Here is a 22,966-nt window from a genome sequence, read left to right on the forward strand (position 1 = left end):
AATTGGTCCTCATCAAATTTTAAAATGTTAACATTAATTTTAAAATTAAAATGAAAAACCCGGCCGCGTGCGGTGGCTCACGCCTGTAATCCCAGCACTTTGGGAGGCCGAGGTGGGCGGATCACCTGAGGTCAGGGGTTGGAGACCAGCCTAGCCAACATGGTGAAACCCCGTCGCTCCTAAAAATACAAAAATTAGCCAGGCCTGGTGTCAGGCGCTTGTAATCCCAGCTACTTGGGAGGCTGAGGCAGGAGAATTGCTTGCACCGGGAGGCGGTGTTGCTGTGAGCCGAGATCGTGCTACTGCACTCCAGCCTGGGCAACAGAGTGAGACTCTGTCTCAAAAAAAAAAAAAAAAAAATAGCCGGGCATGGTGGCTCCCAGCACTTTGGGAGGCTGAGGTGGGCAGATCATGAGGTCAGAAGGTCAGGACCAACCTGGACAATATGGTGAAACCCTGTCTCTACTAAAAATACAAAAAATTTAGCCGGGCATGGTGGTGCATGCCTGTAATCCCAGCTACTCGGGAGGCTGAGGCAGGAGAATCGCTTGCATCCAGGAGGCAGAGGTTGCAGTGAGCCGAGATAGCGTCATTGCACTCCAGCCTGGACAAGAGCGAAACTCCGTCTCAGAAAAAAAAAAAAAAGAAAGAAAGAAAACCCTTGTACATCAAAGGACACTATCAACAGAGTGGAAAGACAATCCACAGAATCAGAGAACATATTTGTAAATAATATATCTGATAAGGGATTAATATCCATAATACATAAGGAACTCATAACTCAACAACAACAACACAAACCCAGCCCAGTTCAATAATGGGCAAAAGGACCTGTATAGACATTTCTCCAAAGATGGCCAATAAGCACATGAAAAGATGCTCAGCATCACTAATCATTAGGAAAATGCAAGTCAAAACCATAATGAGATGGCACTTCACACCCATTAGGATAGCTATTATTAAAAAATATATATCGGGAGTCTCTCTGAGTCTACTCTGGCCCAAGAGGCTGCCAGACAATAATTCAAAATAACAATAATAATAATAATAATAAAGACCATTGCTATGGCTCACACCTGTAATCCCAGCACTATGGGAAGCCAAGGTGAGAGGATCCCTTGATGCCAGGAGTTCAAGACCTAAAGATATCTCTACAAATAATTTATAAAATTAGCTAGGTGTGGGCCAGTCATGGTGGCTCATGCCTATAATCCCAGCAGTTTGGGAGGCTGAGGTGAGTGGATCACTTGAGGTCAGGAGTTCAAGACCAGCTGGCTAACATGGTGAAACCCCATCTCTGCTAAAAATACAAAAATTAGCCAGGCATGGTGGCGGGCGCCTGTAATCCCAGCTACTCAGGAGGCTGAGGCAGGAGAATTGCTTGATCCCAGAAGGCAGAGGTTGCAGTGAGCTGAGATCGTGCCACTGCACTCCAGGGATACTCCGTCACATAAAAATAAAATAAAATAAAATAAAATAAAATAAAATAAAATAAAATAAAATAAAATAAATCAACACAGCCCGGGCACAGTGGCTCATGCCTGTAATCCCAGCACTTTGGGAGGCCAAGGCAGGCGAATCACTTGAGATCAGGAGTTTAAGACCAGCCTGGCCGACATGGTACCAAAATCTGTATTAGTCAGGGTTCTCTAGAGGGACAGAACTAATAGGACATATGTATATATGAAAGGGAGTTTATTTTTATTTTATTTAATTTTTTAAAACTTTTTTTGAGATGGAATCTTGCTCTGTTGCCCAGGCTGGAGTGCAGTGGAGCAATATCGGCTCACTGCAACCTCTACCTCCCATGTTCAAGCAATTCTCCTGCCTCAGCCTCCTGAGTAACTGGGATTACAGGCGCACCCCACCATACCTGGCTAAGTTTTGTATTTTTTTTTTAGTAGAGACAAGGTTTCACCATGGTGGTGAGGCTGGTCTGTAACTCCTGACCTTGTGATCTGCCTGCCTCGGCCTCCCAAAGTGCTGGGATTACAAGTGTGAGCCACCTCACCTGGCCAAAGAGAGTTTATTAAGGAGAATTGACTCACATGATCACAAAGTGAGGTCCCATGATAGACCATCTACAAATCGAGGAGCAAGGAAGCCAATAGTGGGCTGGGCATGGTGGCTCATGCCTACAATCCCAACACTTTTGGAGGCCAAGGCGGGCGGATCACCTGAGGTCAGGATTTCAAGACCAACCTGACCAATATGATGAAACACTGTCTCTACTAAAATAAACAAAAATTAGCGGGGCATGGTGGCATGCGCCTGTAATCCCAGCTACTCGGGAGGCTGAGGCAGGACAATTGCTTGAACCTGGGAGGCAGAGGTTGCAGTGAGCCGAGATAGTGCCACTACACTCCAGCCTGTGCAACAGGAGCGAAACTCAGTCTCAAAAAAAAGGCCCGGCGAGGTGGCCCACGCCTGTAATCCCAGCACTTTGGGAGGCCGAGGCAGGCGGATCACGAGATCAGGAGATTGAGACCATCCTGGCTAACACGGTGAAACCCCGTCTCTACTAAAAATACAAAAAATTAGCCCAGCGTGGTGGCAGGTGCCTGTAGTCCCAGCTACTCGGGAGGCTGAGGCAGGAGAATGGCGTGAACCTGGGAGGTGGAGTTTGCAGTGAGCTGAGATTGCGCCACTGCACTCCAGCCTGGGCAACAGAGCAAGATTCCGTCTCAAAAAAATAAAAAAAAAAAAAGGAAGCCAATAGTAGCTCAGTCTGAGTCCCAAAACCTCAAAACTAAGGAAGCCGACCGTGCAGCCTTCAGTCTGTGGCCAAAGGCCCAAGAGCCCCTGGCAAACCACTGGTCTAAGTCCAAGAGTCCAAAAGCCAAAGAACTTGGAGTCTGATATTTGAGGGCAGGAAGCATCCCACATGGGAGAAAGATGAAGCCTGGAAGATTTAGCAAGTCAGCTTCTCCCACCTTCTGTCTGCTTTATTCTAGCTGCGCTGGCAGCTGATTGGATGGTGCCCACCCAAATTGAGGGTAGGTCTGCCTCTCCAAGTCCACTGACTGAAATGTTAATCTCCTTTGCCAACACCCTCACAGACACACCCAGGAACAATATTTTGTATCCTTCAATCCAATCAAATTGATAATTTTTTTTTTTTTTTTGAGATGGAGTCTTGCTCTGTCACCCAGGCTGGAGTGCAGCGGTGCAGTGGTGTGATCCCAGCTCACAGCAACCTCTGCCTCCTGGGTTCAAGCGAGGCTCCCACCTCAGCCTCCTGAGTAGCTGATATTACAGGCGTGTGCCACTGCACCCGGCTAATTTTTGTATTTTGAGTATAGAGGCAGGGTTTTACCATGTTGGTCAGGCTGTTCTTGAACTCCTGATCTCCAGTGATCGGCCTGCCTCAGTCTCCCAAAGTGCTGGGATTACAGGCGTGAGCCACGAGGTCCGGTCTGATATGAAGGTAATAAATCTTACATCACATGTTTGTTTTTTGAGACAGAGTCTTGCTCTATAGCCCAGGCTGGAGAGCAGTGGCGCAATCTCGGCTCACTGCAACCTCCGCTTCCTGGGTTCAAGCGATTCTCCTGCCTCAGCCTCTCAACTAGTTGGGACTACAGGCACCCGTCACCACGCCTGGCTAAGTTTTTTTTTTTTTTTTGTATGTTTAGTAGAGACGGGGTTTCACTGGGTTAGCCAGGATGGTCTCGATCTCCTGACCTTGTGATCTGTCCGCCTCAGCCTCCCAAAATGCTGGGATTATAGGCGTCAGCCACTGCACCCAGCCTTTTTTTTTTTTTTTTTTTTTGAGACGGAGTTTTGCTCTTGTCGCCCAGGCTGGAGTGCAGTGGTGTGATCTCAGCTCACTGCAACTTCCACCTCCCAGGTTCAAGTGATTCTCCTGCCTCAGCCTCCTGAGTAGCTGGGATTACAAGCGCCCACCACCACGTCTGGCTAATTTTTTTGTATTTTTAGTAGACACGGAGTTTCACCATGTTGGCCAGGCTGGTCTCGAACTCCTGACCTCAGTTGATCCACCTGCCTCAGCCTCCAAAAGTGCTGAGATTACAGGCATGAACCATCATGCCTGGCCAATTTTTTTGTATTTTTAGTGGAGACGGGGTTTCACCATGCTGGCCAGGCTGGTGTTGAACTCCTGACCTCAGGTGATCTGCCCGCCTCGGCCTCCCAAAGTGCTGAGATTATAGGGGTGAGCCAGTGCACCTGGCCTAGGAGGCAATCTTAACTTCCAGTTTAATGGAATCCTTGTGCCTCCTGGTGGCAGCATTCCTCCCTCTAGAACTAAGACCTCTAGGTCAGCAGAACATAATGCCATGGGAACAGGAAGCAAGAAGTTTGCCAGTGGATCACTAAGGGTGATGGTGAGTGGAGCCACTTCCATTTCCACCTCTTGATTCCTGGACCCTTGAATCCTGGTTATGGGAGAAACAGTACCATATATTGGATGCTGATTCAGAGCATACACAGCCTTCTGGAGAACTTTTCCCCAGCCCTGCAAAGAATTGTCACCTAGTTGGCGTTGTAATTGTGACTTCAAAAGGCCATTCCGCTGTTCTATCAATCCAGCTGCTTCAGGATAATGGGGAACATGGTAAGACAAGTGAATTCCATGAGCAAGAGCCCACTGTTGCACTTGTTTAGCTGTAAAGTCAGTGCCGTGGTCAGAGGCAGTGCTGTGTGGAATACCGTGATGGTGGATAAGGCATTCTGTAAGTCCACGGATGATAGTCTTGGCAGAAGCATTGCATGCAAGATAGGCAAACCCATATTTAGAGTAAGTGTCTATTCCAGCGAGGATAAACCTCTGCCCTTTCTGTGATGGAAGAGGTCCAATATAGTCAAACTGCCACCAAGTGGCTGGATGATCACCTCGAGGAATGGTGCCATATCAAGGGCTCAGTGTTGGTCTCTGCTGCTGGAAAATTGGGCACTCAGTCGTGGCCGTAGCCAGGTCAGCCTTGGTGAGTGGAAGTCCATGTTGCTGAGCCCATTAGTAACCTTCATCCCTGCCACCATGGCCACTTTGTTCATGGGCCCATTGGGCGATGACAGGGGTTGCTGGGGAAAGAGGTTGAGTGGTGTCCACAGAACAAGTCATCCTATCCACTTGATTATTAAAATTCTCCTCTGCTGGCTGGACGCGGTGGCTTAAGCCTGTAATTCCAGCACTTTGGGACCCCGAGGCGGGCAGATCACGAGGTCAGGAGATCGAGACCATTCTGGTTAACACGGTGAAACCCTGTCTCTACTGAAAGTACAAAAAAATTAGCTGGGTGTGGTGGCACACAGCTGTAGTCCCAGATACTCGGGAGGCTGAGGCAGGAGAATCGCTTGAACCTGGGAGGCGGAGGTTGCAGTGAGCCGAGATCGTGCCACTGCACTCCAGCCTGGCAACAGAGCAAGACTCCATCTCAAAAAAAAAAAAAAAAAAAAACCTCCTTTGCTGAGGTCACCCTTTGGTAAGCATTCACATGGGATACAAATATCTTCACAGTTTTTGACCACTCAAAGAGGTCCATCCACATACCTCTTTCCCAAATGTCTTTCTCACCAATTTTCCAATCATGCTTCTTCCAAGTCCCTGAACATCCAGCTAAAACATTGGCTACAGCCTATGAATCAGTATATAATTGCAAATCTGGTCATTTCTCCCTCTAAGCAAAGAGCACAACCAGGTTCACTCCTCAAAGTTCTGCCCACTGGGAAGATTTCCCTTCACCGCTGTCCTTCAGGGATATCTTAGAAAGGGGCTGTAGTGATGCAGCTGTCCACTTTCAGGCGATGCCTGCATATCATGCAGAGCTATCTGTAAACCAGGCCCTATTCTTCCGTTCCTCTGTCAGCTCATCGGGGGAACTCCCCATGAGGCCATTGGTGCAGGCTGGGGGAGAGAAGGCAGGGTGGCAGGAGTGGGGGCCATGGGCATTTGAGTCGCTTCCTCATGCAACTTACTTGTGCCTTCAGGACCTGCTCTAACCCGATCACATATACACAACTTCCATTTGATAATGGAATGCTGCTGTGCACACCCAACTTTATGGCTAGATGGGTCAGAAAGCACCCAGTTCATGATAGGCAGTTCAGGTCACATGGTGACTTGATGACCCATAGTCAAACGTTCAGTTTCTACCAAAGCCCAGTAATAGGCCAAGAGCTGTCTCTCAAAAGAAGAGTAGTTATCTGCAGAAGATGGCAGGGCCTTGCTCCACAGTCCTAGAAGCCTCTGTGTGATTCACCTACGGGGGCCTGCCAAAGGCACCAAACAGCAACCCTATCTGCCACTGACACCTCAAGCACCATTGGATCTGCTGGGTCATATGGTCCAAATGGCAGAGCAGCTTGCACAACAGCCTGGACCTGTTGCAGAGCCTTGTCCTGTTTTGGACTCCACTCAAAACTGGCAGTCTTTCGGGTCACTTGATAGATGGGCCAGAGCAACACACCCAAATGAGGAATGCGTTGCCCCCAAAATCCAAATAGGCCCAGTAGGCACTGTGTCTGTTTCTTGGTTGTAGGAGGTGCCAAATGCAGCAATTTATCCTTCACTTTAGAAAGAATATCTCGACAGGCAAGGCCCTACACCACTGAACCCCTAGAAATTTCACTGAGGTAGAGGTTCCCTGAATTTTAGTCAGATTTACTTCCCATTCCCCGGCATGCAAATCTCTCACCAGTAAGTCCAGTGTGTTTGTTACATCTCTCTCACTGGGTCTAATCAGCATAATGATGTCATTAATGTAATGGACCAGTGTGATATCTTATGGAAGGGAAAAGTGATCAAGATCTCTGCGAACAAGATTATGACACAAAGCTGGATATACCAGCTTTGTGAGAGTTGATATACCCCTGAGGTAAGATAGTGAAAGTATATTGCCGGCCTTGCAAGCTGAAGGCGAATTGCCTCTCGTGGGCCTTGTGGACAGGAATGGAGAAAAAGGCATTTGCCAAATCAGTAGCTGCATAACAGGTACCAGGAGATGTGTTAATTTGCTCAAGCAATAAAGCCACATCTGGTTCAGCAGCTGCAACTGGAGTCACCACTTGGTTAAGCTTACAATAATCCACTGTCATTCTCCAAGATCCGCCTGCCTTCTTCTCCAAATAGGAGAGTTGAACGAGGATGTGGTGGGAACCACCACCTCTTTGTCTTTCAAGTCCTTTATGGTGACACTAATCTCTGCAAAATCTCCAGGGATGCAATATTGTTTTGTTTTGTTTTGAGACGGACTTTTGCTCTTGTTGCCCAGGCTGGAGTGCAGTGATGGAGTCTCACCTCACTGCAACCTCTGCCTCCCGGAATCAAGTGGTTCTCCTGCCTCAGCCTCCCGAATAGCTGGGATTACAGGCAACTGCCACCACGCCTGGCTAATTTTTTGTATTTTTAGTAGAGACAAGGTTTCATCATGTTGGCCAGGCTGGTCTTGAACTCCTGACCTCAGATGATCTGCCCGCCTCAGCCTCCCAAAATGCTGGACTTACAGGTGTGAACCACTGTGCCTGGCCCAATATTGTTTTTTATTTACTGTTTTTCTAGGCAGAGGCAGCTCTAATGGCTTCCATTTGGCCTTTCCCACCACAATAGCCCTCACCCTACTGCTCAGGGAGCCATTGTGAGGATTCTGCCAGCTACTAAGTATGTCTATGCCAATTATGCATTCTGGCACTGGGGAAATGACCACAGGATGAGTACAGGGACCCACTGGACCCACTGTAAGTTGGACCTGAGCTAAAACTCCAGTAATTACCTGACCTCCATAAGTCCCTACTCTAACTGGAGGACCACAGTGATGTTTTGGGTCCCCTGGAATAAATGTCAGCTAAGAGCCAGCATCCAGTACTCCCTCAAAGGTCTAATTATTCCCCTTTCCCTAATGCACAATTAACTTAGCCCAGAGGTCTCCGTGGGGAAATATGGGAGAAAGATTAGCAGTATAAATTGTCCATAGTGTAGTGGGGTCGTTCTTCAAGGGGACCTGGCCTCCCCTTCATTCAAGGAGTTCTGGGTCTGTAAACTGGCTCAAGTCTGGAAATTGCTTGAGAGACCATGATTCTCTATTTCTTTTTGATACAGAGTTTCGCTCTTGTTGCCCAGGCTGGAGTGCAAAAGCACGATCTCAGCTCACCACAACCTCCGCCTCCCAGGTTCAAGCGATTCTCCTGCCTCAGCCTCCCAAGTAGCTGGGATTACAGGCATGTGCCACCACGCCTGGCTAATTTTGTATTTTTAGCAGGGATGGGGTTTCTGCATGTTGGTCAGGCTGGTTTCGAACTCCCAACCTCAGGTGATCTGCCTGCCTTGGCCTCCCAAAGTGCTGAGATTACAGGCGTGAGCCACCACGCCTGGCCGAGTCTCTGTTTTATAATTCAAATTAGTCTTTTGTCCACTCAACCTGGAAATTTTCTGTTTATACAAATTAAGAATGCAGTAGGTGCTGGGCATGGTGGCTCACACCTGTAATCTCAGCACTTTGGGAGGCCAAGGCAGCAGATCATATGAGGTAAGGAGTTTGAAACCAGTCTCTACTACTGGCAACATGGCAAAATGCTGTCTCTACAAAAATAAAAAAAAAATTGGGCCAGGGACAGTGGCTCAGGCCTGTAATCCCAGCACCTTGGGAGGTCAAGGCAGGTGGATCACCTGAGGTCAGGAGTTTGAGACCAGCCTGGCCAACATGCGAAACCTGGTCTCTACTAAAAATTTACAAAAATTAGCCAGGTGGGCTGGGTGCAATGGCTCATGCCTATAACCCCAGCATCTTGGGAGGCCGAGGCAGGTGGATCACCTGAGGTCAGGAGTTCAAGACCAGCCTGGCCGATATGGCGAAACCCCGCCTCTACTAAAACTACAAAAAATTAGCCGGGCATGGTGGCTGGCACCTATAATCCCAACTATTCGGGAGGCTGAGACAGGAGAATCGCTTGAACCCGGGAGGTGTAGGTTGCAGTGAGCCAAGATTGTGCCATTGTACTCCAGCCTGGGTGACAACAACAAAACTCCATCTCAAAAAAAAAAAAAAAAAAATTGGGCTGGGCATAGTGGCTCATGCCTGTAATCACAGCACTTTGAGAGGCTGAGGCGGGTGAATCACTTGAGGCCAGGAGTTCAAGACCAGCCTGGCTGACAAGAACAAAACTCCATCTCAAAAAAAAAAAAAAAAAATTGGGCTGGGCCTAGTGGCTCATGCCTGTAATCACAGCACTTTGGGAGGCTGAGGCGGGTGAATCACTTGAGGCCAGGAGTTCAAGACCAGCCTGGACAACATGGTAAAACCCCGTCTCTACAAAAAATGCAAAAGCTAGCTGGACATGGTGGCATGGGCCTGTAGTCCCAGCCTGTAAAAACCTTTGTTGAACCTGGGAGGCAGAGGTTGCAGTGAGCCGAGATTGCGCCACTGCACTCCAGCCTGGGCGATAGAGCAAGACTCCCTCTCAAAAAAAAAAAAAAGAAAAAAAATTAACTGGACTTGGTGGCACATGCCTGTAATCCCAGCTACTCGGGAGGCTGAGGCGGGAGAATTACTTGAACCCAGAAGGGGGAGGATGCAGTAACCTGAGATCATACCACTGCACTCCAACTTGGGCAACAGAGCAAGACTCTGTCTCAAAAGAAAAAAAAAAGAATTCAGTAGGCTTTCTATCAACGAGTCAGACTATTCCGATTGCTGCTTTGCCTCTGCTGTCCATTACGGTAACTACATCTGCTTTGCCTTTGATGGTTGAGTGTTGCCACTTGGCTCCTGCCACCTTGGGATTTAATTATTCCCACTGCGTTTAAGTTTTCCAATTGAGTGAGTACAGTTCCCACTGTACGATCTGGCATACAGAGAGGAGCAATCACAGAGCTCTTCAAGGACACGGGTGCTCCCTTCAGAAATCTGTTTCACAAGGTTATACCCTATGGTGAAGGATAGGTCTTCTGGACCCTCCCAGTGGGGATGAGTAGGTCTAAAGTGACTAATCCACTCTAGCGTTCCAATTTCCCTAAGCCTTTGGATCCCTTCCTCTACATTAAACCAAGGGAGATTGGAATGCTACTAAAAATACAAAAAGGTGGGCTTGGTGATGTGCGCCTGTAATTCCAGCTACTAGGGAAGCTGAGGCACGAGAATCTCTTGAACCTGGGAGGCAGAGGCTACAGTGAGCGGAGGTCACATCACTGCACTCCAGCCTGGGCGACAGAATGAAGACCCTCTCAAAAAAACCAAAAAAGGCCGGGCATGGTGGCTCACGCCCGTAATCCCAGCACTTTGGGAGGCCGAGGCAGGCGGATCACGAGGTCAGGAGTTCAAGACCAGACTAACCAACATGGTGAAACCCCGTCTCTACTAGAAATACAAAAATTAGCTGGGTGTGGTGGCGCGTGCCTGTAATCCCAGCTACTCAGGAGGCTGAGGCAGAACTGCTTGAACCCAGAAGGCGGAGGTTGCAACTGAGCAACACAGTGAAACTCTGTCACAAAAAAAAAAAAAAAAAAAAAAAATTAGCTGGGCGTGGTGGTGTGCACCTATAGTCCCCACTACTTGGGAGGCTGAGGCAGGAGAAATGCGGGAACCTGGGAGGCAGAGATTGTAGTGAGCTGACAGTGCGTCACTGCACTCCAGCCTGGGCAACAGAGTGAGACTTTTTTTTGTCTCAAAAAAAAGACAAAAAGGAAAAAAATCGACACAGGGCAGGGTGCGGTGGCTCACACCTGTAATCCCTGCACTTTGGGAGGCCGAGGTGGGTATATCACCTGAGGTCAGGAGTTCGAGACGAGCCTGGCCAACATGAGGATACCCTGAATCTACTAAAAATACAAAAAATTAGCTGGGCGTGGTGGTGCACGCCTGTAATCTCAGCTACTCAGGAGGCTGAGGCAGAAGAATCATTTGAACCCAGGAGGTGGAGGTTGTAGTGAGCTGAGATCGTGCCACTGCACTCTGGCCTGGGCAACAAGAGGAAAACTCCATCTCAAAAATAAATAAATAAATAAACAAAGAAACACAGAATAAACATGTGATCCAGCAATTCCTCTTCGGGGTATAGACGCAAAATAATTGAAACCAGGAACTTGAACAGATATTCGTACACCCTCGTTCATAGCATCATAGCAGCATTACTCACAATAGCCAAAAAGTATAAACAATTCAAATGTCCATCAAAGGATAAATGGATACACCAAATCAATGGATGTCTATACAATGGAAATATTATTTGGTCATAAAAAGGAATGAAGTACTGAAACATGCCATAGCATGAATTAACTTTGAACACATTATGCCAGGTTAAATAAACCAGACTCAAAAGGACAAATATTGTACAATACTACTTATAGGAAGCACTTAGCACAGTCAAATTCTGGCTAGGCACAGTGGCTCATGCCTGTAATCCCAGCACTCTGGGAGGCCGACGCGGGTAGATCACTTGAGGTCATGAGCTTGAGACCAGCCTGGACAACATGGCGAAACAACGCCTCTACTAAAAATACAAAAATTTGCTGGGTGTGGTGGTGCACGCCAGCAGTCCTACTACTCTGGAGTAGCTATTCTGGAGGCTGAAATGGGAGAATTGCTTGAACCTGGGAGGCGGAGGTTGCAGTGAGCCAAGATTGCACCACTGCACTGTGGCCTGGGTGACAGAGCGAGACTCTGTCTCAAAAAAAATGTTAAAATGGTAAACTTTATGTAATGTCTATTTTATCACAATAAAAAATTAAAAGTTAATTTAAAAATGAAATAATTTAAAAGGAAAGATATTGAAGAGTAAGATTTTGGGTGTGCCTGTGATATCCCTGACACTGAGCTGGGAGGTGGTCACTGGCTCAGGGAGCTTACACGCTAATGAGCCAACAGTGCTTATGCCAAGTGTCCACATCATGCCTGGTAGAGCAGAAGTGCTCATAAATGTAGTTATTATTTGATAACCCTCAGCTCACTTTTGAAAGTAAGCAGGATTCCAAATTAAACCACCTTGGAGAAGTCTTATGACACAATGGTGACATTCTGTCTCCCAGTAAAGAATCTGTTTTCGCCTGGGCTCGGTGGCTTACGCCTATAATCCCAGGACTTTGGGAGGCCGAGGTAGGTGTATCACCTCAGGTCAGGAGTTCAAGACCAGCTTGGACAACATGGTGAAACCCCGTCTCTACTAAAAATACAAAAATTAGCCGGGTGCGGTGGCGAGGGCCTGTAGTCCCAGCTATTCAAGAGGCTGAGGCAGGAGAATCGATTGAACCCAGGAGATGGAGGTTGCAGTGAGCCAAAATGGTGCCACTGCACTCCAGCCTGGGTGACAGAATGAGACTCTGTCTCAGAAAAAACAAAAAGAATCTGTTTTTTCAGGCCAGGTGTGGTGGCTCACGCCTGTAATCCCAGCACTTTGGGAGGCTGAGGAGAGCGGATCGTTTGATGCTAGGAGTTCAAGACCAGCCTGGCCAACATAGTGAAACCCTGTCTTTACTAAAAATAAAAAAATTAGCTGGACATGGTGGCGCGTGCCTGTAGTCCTAGCTACTCAGGAGGCTGAGGCAGAAGAATCGCTTGAAAACGGGAGGTGGAGGTTGCACTGTGCTCCAGCTTGGGCAACAGAGTGAGACTTTGTCTCAAAAAAAAAAAAAGATTCCGTTTTTTTCTTTTTTGTACAGAACAATAGGAACATACTAGCAAAAAATCTCATTGTAAATTTCTCAAATTGTTGTACTGATCAATGTGTAACCTGTGGGACACTAAATGGGACGCTGATTTATTTTTTTTTTAAGATTAACTGAAGCGCACCTCTGGAGGCTGAGGTTGGAGGATCCCTTGAGCCCAGGAGTTCCAGGCTATAGTGAATTATGATTGCACCATTGTACTCTACCCTGAGCAGCGAAGTGAGACCCTGTCTCTTTTTTTTTTTTTTTGAGACGGAGTCTAGCTGTCACCCAGGCTGGAGTGCAGTGGCGCGATCTGGGCTCACTGCAAGCTCCGCCTCCCGGGTTCACGCCATTCTCCTGCCTCAGCTTCCCCAGTAGCTGGGACTACAGGCGCCCGCCACCACGCCCAGCTAACTTTTTGTATTTTTAGTAGAGGTGGGGTTTCACCGTGTTAGCCAGGATGGTCTTGATCTCCTGACCTCATGATCTGCCCGCCTTGGCCTCCCAAAGTGCTGGGATTACAGGTGTGAGACACCGCGCCCGACCGACCCTGTCTCTAAAAAAAAGAAAAAAAGCCAGGCGCGGTGGCTCACACCTGTAATCCCAGCATTTTGGGAGGCCAAGGCGGGTGGATCAGGAGATCGAGACCATCCTGGCTAACACGGTGCAACTCTGTCTGTACTAAAAATACAAAAAATTAGCCCGGCATGGTGGCATGCACCTGTAGTCCCAGCTACTTGGGAGGCTGAGGCAGGAGAATCGCTTGAACCTGGGAGGCAGAGGTTGTAGTGAGCTGAGATCGCGCCACTGCACTCCAGCCTGGGCAACAGAATGAGACTCCGTCTCAAAAAAAAAAAAAAAGGCCGAGCACGGTGGCTCACGCCTGTAATCCCAGCATTTTGGGAGGCCAAGGCAGGTGGATCACCTGAGGTCGGGAGTTCGAGACCAGCCTGACCAACATGGAGAAACCCCATCTCTACTAAATATACAAAATTAGCCGGGCATGGTGGTGCATGCATGTAATTCCAGCTACTCAGGAGGCTAAGGCAGGAGAATCACTTGAACCTGGGAGGTGGAGGTTTTGGTGAGCCGATATCACGCCATTGCACTCCAGCCTGGGCAAGAGCGAAACTCCGTCTCAAAAAAAAAAAAAAAAAAAAGAAAAGGAAGAAAAAAAGAGGACAATTCTGGTATGAGGACCCCACGCCCTTGTTTTAAACTTTCCTGTAAAAACCTTTGTCCTTGGGACAGACTCGGGAACATGCCCAACTCTGCTGGTGTGTCTTCCTGGGTCAATTCTCACATTTGCCTTCCAATAAGCCTTTATCAAATTATTTCTGTCTCATCAGGCTTAAGTTTAGTTGCATAATGGTCACCATCACAGATAAGTAGACTGAGGCCCAGAGAGAGCCTTAACAAAGGAATGAAGGTCCTACGACAAGGGAGGCAGCACCGACTGGGCTCTGAGTTCTGTAAGGTGAGTGGGTGGTAAGTGTCAGTGGAAGGTTTGTTATTGTTGTTGTTGTTGTTTCGAGACAGAGTCATGTAGGCTGGAGTGCAGTGGCCTGATCATGGCTCACTGCAGCCTTAAACTCCTGGACTCAAGCCATTCACCCGCCTTGGCCTCCCAAAGTGCTGGGATTACAGCTGTGAGTCTCCGCAACCGGCCTTGCCTTTTGTTTTGGTTGCGGTGGTGGACCCTGGGTGAGGGTAGGGGTGCGGTGGGGTGGAGCAGGAGGTGATACACCTGACTGCTGCATCTAGATTCATCCTAGTCTTTTTTTTTTTTTTTTTTTGCACCAACTGGCAGAATTTCCTCCCTTTCTCTCTCTGCCTCCTTTTCTGATTCACTCTCCATCTGTTAGTGGCTTCTGGCTTCTGAGAATGTGGATGCAGAAGGGTGGGGTAAGCTGTGGGGGGTGGGGAAGTAGATACAAAAACACAGGCAGTCCTTAATAGGCTTTCAAATATTTTTTGAGTGCTCTCTAGGTATCAAGCAATATTCTAGGAGCTGGGGGAGTCCTACCATGAATAAAATCGAGTTTGTCCCTGCTTTCACAGAGGTTCCATTGCAGGGTATATATGTATGGAGGGGAGGGGAGGGAACTGTAGATACAGACGGGGACAAGATATGTCAGGAATGGGTAAGGGCTATAAAGGAGGTAAGAGTGTCTGGGGAGAAGGCACAGCTTGAGACAATGAGAACAGCGAAGACCACGCTGAGGAGCTGGGACCTGGGAGATGCAAAGGAGGCAGCTGAAGATCCAGAGGAAGAGGGTGCCTGGCCTGGCGAAACAGGGAAAGGCTGTGAAATCCATGTGTTGGAGGAACTTTAGGAAGGCCAGTGTGGCTGGACTAGAGAGACAGAAAGAAGGCAAGTCAAGGCCAGGCGCAGTGGCTCACATCCGTAATCCCAGCACTTTGGGAAGCTGAGGTGGAGTTCGAGACCAGCCTGGCCAACGTGGTGAAACCCCATCTCTACTAAAAATATAAAAATTAGCCAGGTGTGGTGGCATGTGCCTGTAGTCCCAGCTACTTGGGAGAATGAGGTGGGAGAATCACTTGAACTTGGGAGGCAGAAGTTGCAGTGAGCCGAGATTGCGCCACTGCACTCCAGCCTGGGTGACAGAGTAAGGCTCCGTCTCGAAAAAAAAAAAAGAAAGAAAGAAAGTAAAGAAAGGATCCCAGTGCCAGGTCCTATAGACCATGATGGGGAGTTCACAAGCAATTTTTTTTAAAGGGGATAGGAGGCCACTAAAAGAATTAAGAATGAAGACTCAAAGGCAGCAAGACAGGAAGTAGGGAGACCAATTAGGAGGCACTGGCTGTGACAGAGGCAGATGATGATGATCTGGACCAGTGGGGGTTAGAGAAGAGATGATATTCTAGGGGTCTTTGGGAGGTGACTGAGAGATGAGGGCAACATTCCCTGAGGTGGGGGACACTAGGACAGAAGCAGGTTTGTTGAAGACATCTAAGGTGGGTGGGGAAAGAAACAAATTCAGTTGTGGGCATGTGGAGTATGGAGAGTCGGTGGACAGCCAGAGACACTGTTCCAGGCTGGAGGAGAGACCAGATGATGCTTGAAGTTTTTGTCTTTTAAAAAATCAGTTGCCAGAAGTGGTGGCTCCAGGCAGATCACCGGAGGTTAGGAGTTTGAGACCAACCTGCCCAACACGGTGAAACGACGTCTCTGCTAAAAATACAAAAATTAGCCAGGTGTGGTGGTGGGGACCTGTAATCCCAGCTACTTCCGGGGCTGAGGCAGGAGAATCACTTGAACTCAGGAGTCAGAGGTTGCAGTGAGCCGAGATGGCACCACTGCACTCGAGCCTGAGTGACAAGAGTGAGACTCTGTCTCAAAAAAAAAAAAATATCAGTTATAGGCCAGGAACAGTGGCCTGTAATCCCAGCACTTTGGGAGACCGAGGCGGGTGGGTCACCTAAGGTCATGAGTTTGGGGCCAGCCTGGCCAACATAGTGAAACCCCGTCTCTACCAAAAATACAAAAATTAGTCAGGTGTGGCAGCACATGCCTGTAATCCCTGCTACTCAGGAGGCTGAGGCAGGAGAATCCCTTGAACTCAGAAGGTAGAGGCTGCAGTGAGCTGAGATTGTAGGGCCACTGCACTCCAGCCTGGCGACAGAGCGAGACCCCATCTCAAAAAAAAAAAAAAAAAAATCAGTTATCATCCAGGCACGGTGGCCCACGACTATAATTCCAGCACTTTGGGAGGCCGAGGTGGGTGGATCACTTGAGCTCAGGAATTTGAGACCAGCCTTGGTAACATGGTGAAACCCCAGCTCTATGAAAAATACAAAAAGGAGCTGGGCGTGGTTGTGCAAGCCTATAGTCTCAGCTACTCGGGAAGTCAAGATTGGAGGATCACTTGTGCCCAGGAGGAGACTCTATCCTCCAAAATAACTAAATAAAAATAAATGGCCAGGCACGGTGGCTCACGCCTGTAATGCCAGCACTTTGGGAGACTGAGGCAGGAGGATCACGAGGTCAAGAGATTGAGACCATCCTGGCCAACATGGTGAAACCCTGTCTCTACCAGAAATACAAAAATTGGCTGGGCGCGATGGCTCATGCCTGTAATCCCAGCACTTTGGGAGGCCAAGGCAGCAGATCATGAGGTCAAGAGATCGAGATCATCCTGGCCAACACGGTGAAACCCCGTCTCTACTAAAAATACAAAAAATTAACCAGGCGTGGTGGCTCGTGCTTGTAGTCCCAGCTACTCGGGAGGCTGAGGCAGGAGAATCGCTTTAACCTGGGAGGCAGCCAAGATCGCACCACTGCACAGACCGAGACTCCGTCTCCAAATCAATCAATCAATAAACAAACAATTATGGTGGCTCACACCTGTAATCCCAGCACTTTGGGAGGCCAAGGCAGGAGGATTGCTTGAGCCCAGGAGTTAGAGACCAGAGTGGGCAACATGGTAAAACCCCATTTCTACTAAAAATGTAAAAATTAGCCAGGCATGGTGGTTCCTGCTTGTGGTCCCAGCTACTCCGGGGGCTGAGGCAGGAGGACTGCTTGAGCACTGGAGGCTGGGGCTGCAGTGAGCCGAGATCCCGCCACTGCACTCAGCCTGGGAGATCAACCCAGACCGGTCCCCCCCACCAAAAAAAAGAAAAAAAGAAAGAAAAGAAAAGAAGGGCCGGGCGCGGTGGCTCACGCCTGTAATTCAACACTTTGGGAGGCTGAGGCGGACGGATCACAAGGTCAGGAGATCGAGACCATCCTAGCTAAGACGGTGAAACCCTGTCTCTACTAAAAAATACAAAAAAATTAGCCAGGCGTAGTGGCGGACGCCTGTAGTCCTAGCTACTGAGGAGACTGAGGCAGGAGAATGGTGTGAACCCAGGAGGCGGAGCTTGCAGTGAGCCGAGATTGCGCCACTGCACTCCGGCCTGGGCGACAGAGCAAGACTCCGTCTCAAAAAAAAAAAAAAAGAGAAACTTACTTAGTAGGGTTGCTGTGAGGATTATACAAGACAGAAGCATCTTCACCAAGCCATAGGCCATAGAAAGGTCTTTTTGTTTGTTTGTTTTTTGAGATAGAGTCTCACTCTGTTGCCCAGGCTGGAGTGCAATGGCCTGATCTCGGCTCACTGCAACCTCCGCCTCCCGGGTTCAAGTGATTCTCCTGGCTCAGCCTTCTGAGTAGCTGGGACTAGAGGCGCGTGCCACGACGCCCGGCTAATTTCTGTATTTTTAGTAGAGACGGGGTTTCACCATGTTGCCCAGGCTGGTCTCGAACTCCTGGTCTCAAGTGATCTGTCCGCCTCGGCTTCCCAAAGTGTGGGATTACAGGCGTAAGCCACCACACCTGGCCATAGAAAGGTCTTAATACGGCCGGGCGCGGTGGCTCACGCCTGTAATCCCAGCTCTTTGGGAGGCCCAGGCGGGTGGATCATGAGGTCAGATATTGAGACCATCCTGGCCAACATGGTGAAATCCTGTCTTTACTAAAATACAAAAAAAAAAAAAAATTGCCGGGCGTGGTGTCGCGCGCCTCTAGTGCCAGCTCTTCGGGAGGCTGAGGCCGGAGAATCACTTGAACCCAGGAGGCTGAAGCTGCAGTGAGCCGAGATCGCGCCACTGCACTCCAGCCTGGCCAAAGAGCAAGACTCTGTCTAAAAAAATAAATAAATAAATAAAAAATAAAGGTCTTAATACTTGTTAATTACTATTACTGACCCCAGGAACTCTCTGAAGCACTTTTCATGCAGGTATCACCTTCTTTAGCACTCACATTATGTCTTATCGGAAACAGGTTTAGAGCTGTCAAGAAATTCCTCCAGAGTCGTTTACACTTCCAGCAGGGGAGTCAAGACTTCAACCCAGAAACTCACAAGCAGGAAAAACTTGGCAAACAGGCACGGGTCAGACAATGCTTAGGGCTTGCTCAAGGACTCGTGACCAGTTACTGATCTATGCAGATCTTCTGATTGCAAACTGATAGCTGGATTGTAACTTGAAGGGTCCGATAAGATGTAAACTTCATAAAACAGGATTTGGGGAGGTAAATGGAGTAGAGTCCTCCAGAGGAGTCGAGAAAGCTAGCTTGGCCCTCAATTGTGGTTGAGGTGATTCTTTCATTTAGGGCCTATTTTCCTCATCTATGAGTGCGGGAAGGAGAGTTACTGGGGTCTCTAGCGACCTTTCCAACACTGATTTTCAAGGGCGAAAGAATTCTGCTTAGGTAAGGCCCAAATCCCTTGGCTAAGGTTAATCCTCGGTGGGACCGGCAATAGGGACGCGTCCCCTTTAAGGCGCCAGCTCTCCGGCGGCGGCGGCCGGAAGTGTTGAAGCCCGGCCTGGCGGCGGCGGTGGCGGTAGCTGCCGTGGCGGCCTCTGCGCATGCTCCGTCGCCTGCCCGCCCTGGCCGCTCGCCGCCCGCCCGCCCGACGGAGACGGTGAGGAGGGGGAGGGGTGGGCGCGCGGGCGCGGGGTGGGGTGGGGGCGGGGGGGCGGGCGCGGGGGCCGCGCGGCGGCCGGCGAGGGCGGGCGGGCGCGCAGGGGGCGGGGGGCTGCTGCCTCCGCGGGCGCCTCCCCACGCCCTGTGCGTGCCGCCGCCGCCGCCGGGGAGCGAGCGGACGTCGCGGCGCCGCGGGGGGGTGGGGGGACGCTGCCGCTGGGTCCGCCCGAGCCGCCGGGCCGCCCCCAGCGCAGCCGGCCGCGCCGCCGGGGCTCGGGCCCCAGACCAGGGCGGCGGGAACCGGCGAGTCCACCACTGGGGGGGCCCCGGCGCCCCCGGACCGAGGGGCCCGGAAGTACTCGGCTCAGGGGCCAGGAGGGGCCGGAGTGACTCCGGACTGAGAGGGCCAGGCGCCCAGGACCCCATCGAGGGGTCCGGGGAGCCTGGGGTATCCCCAAAGGCGGGGTCCGGGGAGCACCGGGCCCTTGGATGAGGAGCTGGTTGGAGGCCTGGGTCCTGCCCAGTGGGAGGGGGACGATAGGTGCTGGAAGCCCGGATGCCCGCCTGGGAGGAGACCCTCTCGGAGCCTTGGCGGGAGAGCAAGAGTACAGAGTGGGTTCTTCTGAGGAGAGCAGAGTCCAGCTTATCCCGAGGGGCGCGGTAGAGGCCTCGGCCACTCAGAACAAGGGAAAAAAGGGCAGGTTTTTTCCAAAGGCAGGGAAGGAAGAGGAGCTCTAAGGGGAAGTGAGCAGGCCCAGGTCTCCCCACAGATGAGCGCGTGGTAGGAAGACTCCTAGAGCCTCCTGAAGTACGAAAGAGCAGCGTCCAAACCTGAGGGGATGGAAGGTGTCTAGGTGCCTCTTGATGTCTAGGTGGAGAACAAAGTAACCCGCTCGGTCAGGGGATGGAGAAACCTATCTTTTTGAGAGAAGCAGAGATCGTTGAGGAAAGATGCTTAAGGTGTTCCCGCTTTCTGAAATGACAGGAATTGGCCAGGTGTTATCTAATTGAGGGGCAGGAGAGATGAAGGCAAAATCTCAACCCGAGGGTCTTTGGAGGATGATCCACAAGACAAGAGGGTGAAGTCTTGACCTAGACAGCAGAGCAGGCGCAGCCCTGGATTCTCTCAAGATGAGAGAAATCTCAAAACCACTTCCTAGTAGACACAGATGGGGCCTTGATTGGTGTCTGTTTAGGCCAATCAAGACGGGTTTTAGGAAAAGAGACTGTCAGACATAATTCTAGTCTTGAGGGATTATCTTCTTCCTCCTTGCCTCTTCTAATAGTTACCAAAGTGCATTTGGGGACCCTTTTTATTTATTTATTTATTTATTTGTTTTTTGAGACGGAGTCTCACTCTATCGCCCAGGCTGGAGTGGTGGCTCACTGCAACTTCCGCCTCCTGGGTTCAAACGATTCTCCTGCCTCAGCCTCCCGAGTAGCTGGGACTACAGGCGCGTGCCACCACACCAGCCAATTTTGTTGTTGTTGTTGTTGTTGTTTGAGACGGAGTTTCACTCCTGTTGCCCAGACTGGAGTGCAATGGCGCGATCTCAGCTCACTGCAACCTCCGCCTCTTGGGTTCAAGCGATTCTCCTGCCTCACCCTCCCGAGTAGCTGGGGCTACAGGCGCCCGCCACCACACCCAGCTAATTTTTGTATTTTTAATAGAGACGGGGTTTCACCATGTTGGCCAGGCTGGTCTCGAACTCCCAACCTCAGGTGATCCCACATCCTCAGCCTCCCAGAGTACTGGGATTACAGGCGTGAATCACTGCGCCTGGCCCAACCAGGCTAATTTTTTTGTGTTTTTAGTAGAGACGGGGTTTCACCATGTTAGCCAGGATGGTTTCGATCTCCTGACCTTGTGATTCGCCCGCGTTGGCCTCCTAAAGTGCTGGTATTACAGGCGTGAGCCACTGCGCCCGGCGGGGGAAACTTATTCAATGGTTGCACCGTCTCCTAATTTGAGAGCCTTATATCAAGGATGTATATTTAATATCTTACTTAAATGATTTTTTTTGGGTTCCTATTTACTTCAGCAAATACATTGTATAGGTAGCTTCTACTCAGCTTCATTGGGTTTATTGTGGGGGCAGTATTTTGGTCTTGCCCTAAGCCAAAGTCCACCGGACTGTAGCGGGATGACTCCAAATAACTCTTATCCCATCGCTCCCTCAAACATCTACATAATAGTCTCCAGTCTGTGACTTAGAATTTCACCTCCTCTGGATACTTCCCTCAGTGTTTCTGCATAATTTACTTGTTGACCTCATTACATCTTGTAGCACTATGGATCACCCACTGAATGCATGAGAAGAAATAAAGGGGATATCAAGGAGTTTTGGCCTCAAGTAATAATAAAGTTTTAACTTGGATTTTTCCCCCCGTTTTAAACAAAACTGTAGTTTAGAGTGGAAATTTCTTTTTTATTTTATTTTTTTGGGGGAACAGAGTTTCCCTCTGTTGCCCAGGTGAGAGTGCATTGCGGGATCTCAGCTCACTGCAAACTCGATCCTCTCAGCTCAGCCTCCTGAGTAGCTGGGACTACAGGTGCGTGGCACTGCGCCCGCCTAATTTTGTTAGTTTTCTGGCGGGCGCTGTGATTTATGCCTGTAATGCCAGCACTGTGGGAGGCCGAGACAGGCGGCCTCCCAAAGTGAGCGGCCTCCTCGGCCTCTCTTTAGCTCGAGTTCCAGACCAGCTTGGGCAACATGGTGAAACCCCGTCTCTACAAAAAATGACAAAAATTAGATGGGCGTGGTGGAGCTAGTTGCCTGTGGTCCCAGCTACTCTGGAGGCTTAAGTGGGAGGATCGCTTGAGCTCCGGAAGTCGAGGTTGCAGTGAGCCGAGAGCGCACCACTGCTCTCCGGCCTGGGTGACAGAGTGAGACTATGTCTCACTAAAAAATAAATAAATAAATATATAAAAAATAAAACGACTACACAGTCTTCAAAAGTTATAATAGAGTGTGGAATAAATAAATATTTTGGGCTGGGCGCGGTAGCTCACGCCTGTAATCCCAGCACTTTGGGAGGTGGAGGCGGGCGGATCACCTGAGGTCAGGAGTTTGAGACCCACCTGGCCAACATGGTGAAACCCTGTCTCTACTAAAAAATACAAAAATTAGCTGGGCGTGGTGGCAGATGCTTGTAATCCCAGCTCCTTGGGAGGCAGGAGAATTGCTTGAACTTGGGAGGCGGAAGTTGCAGTGAGCCGAGACCGTGCCATTGCACTCCAGCCTGGGCAACAAGAGAGAAACTCCGTCTCAAAAAAAAAATTAAATAAATATTTTGGGGTTAGAAAATTTCAGAAAATCTCGTACTCATTTTTACTTTTTTTTTTAACTTTTATTTTTATTTATTTATTTATTTATTTATTTATTTATTTATTTTTGAGACGGAGTCTCACTCTGTCGCCCAGGCTGGAGTGCAATGGCGCGATCTTGGCTCACTGCAAGCTCCGCCTCCCGGGTTCACGCCATTCTCCTCCTCAGCCTCCCGAGTAGCTGGGACTACTCTCCCGCCACCACTCCCAGCTAATTTTTTTTTTTTGTATTTTTTGTAGAGATGGGGTTTCACCGTGTTAGCCAGGATGATCTCCATCTCCTGACCTCGTGATCCGCCCGCCTCAGCCTCCCAAAGTGCTGGGATTACAGGCTTGAGCCACCACGCCCGGCCTACTTTTTTAAGTCCCCAGAAAGTGCCAATATTATTATTATTATTTTTTGTTATTATACTTTAAGTTCTAGGGTACATGTGCACAACGTGCAGGTTTGTTACATATGTATACATGTGCCATGTTGGTGTGCTGCACCCATTAACTCGTCATTTATATTAGGTATATCTACTAATGCTATCCCTCCCCACTCTGGCCTGGGTGACATATTGTTCCTTTTTTTTTTTTTTTTTTTGTTTTGACGGAGTCTCGCTCTGTT

At 49.4% G+C, this 22,966-nt stretch overlaps 1 protein-coding gene across 9 annotated transcripts in view, besides 6 other annotated features; it reads left to right on the forward strand.

Annotated features, from left to right (window-relative positions):
• GMEB1 (glucocorticoid modulatory element binding protein 1) overlaps positions 18,416-22,966 on the forward strand; it is a 51,125-nt gene continuing 46,574 nt past the window's right edge. For 4 of the 9 annotated variants that reach the window (NM_006582.4, NM_001319674.2, XM_011540519.3 and 1 more), the window contains exon 1: positions 18,971-19,026. The gene's annotated coding sequence lies outside the window, so the exon portion shown is untranslated. Of the gene's footprint in view, positions 18,813-18,970; positions 19,027-19,404; positions 21,383-22,966 lie in introns of those variants that run through there. The other 5 variants (XM_017000087.2, XM_011540521.4, XM_047438136.1 and 2 more) reach the window with 4 other exon arrangements.
• Positions 18,943-19,082: a silencer, noted in NCBI's record as "silent region_545". NCBI's record gives its function as "represses an Ori minimal core promoter by ATAC-STARR-seq in GM12878 lymphoblastoid cells {active_cell/tissue: GM12878}" and the evidence as "EXISTENCE:reporter gene assay evidence [ECO:0000049][PMID:35858748]".
• Positions 19,113-19,222: a silencer, noted in NCBI's record as "silent region_546". NCBI's record gives its function as "represses an Ori minimal core promoter by ATAC-STARR-seq in GM12878 lymphoblastoid cells {active_cell/tissue: GM12878}" and the evidence as "EXISTENCE:reporter gene assay evidence [ECO:0000049][PMID:35858748]".
• Positions 19,233-19,522: a silencer, noted in NCBI's record as "silent region_547". NCBI's record gives its function as "represses an Ori minimal core promoter by ATAC-STARR-seq in GM12878 lymphoblastoid cells {active_cell/tissue: GM12878}" and the evidence as "EXISTENCE:reporter gene assay evidence [ECO:0000049][PMID:35858748]".
• Positions 20,053-20,102: an enhancer, noted in NCBI's record as "active region_602". NCBI's record gives its function as "activates an Ori minimal core promoter by ATAC-STARR-seq in GM12878 lymphoblastoid cells {active_cell/tissue: GM12878}" and the evidence as "EXISTENCE:reporter gene assay evidence [ECO:0000049][PMID:35858748]".
• Positions 20,153-20,212: an enhancer, noted in NCBI's record as "active region_603". NCBI's record gives its function as "activates an Ori minimal core promoter by ATAC-STARR-seq in GM12878 lymphoblastoid cells {active_cell/tissue: GM12878}" and the evidence as "EXISTENCE:reporter gene assay evidence [ECO:0000049][PMID:35858748]".
• Positions 21,711-22,229: an enhancer, noted in NCBI's record as "H3K4me1 hESC enhancer chr1:28998036-28998554 (GRCh37/hg19 assembly coordinates)". NCBI's record gives its function as "activates a minimal SCP1, AML or CMV promoter by ChIP-STARR-seq in primed H9 embryonic stem cells {active_cell/tissue: H9 hESC(primed)}" and the evidence as "EXISTENCE:reporter gene assay evidence [ECO:0000049][PMID:30033119]".

This window comes from Homo sapiens, chromosome 1 (genome assembly GCF_000001405.40).
Source record: "Homo sapiens chromosome 1, GRCh38.p14 Primary Assembly".
Classification (NCBI taxonomy): domain Eukaryota; kingdom Metazoa; phylum Chordata; class Mammalia; order Primates; family Hominidae; genus Homo; species Homo sapiens.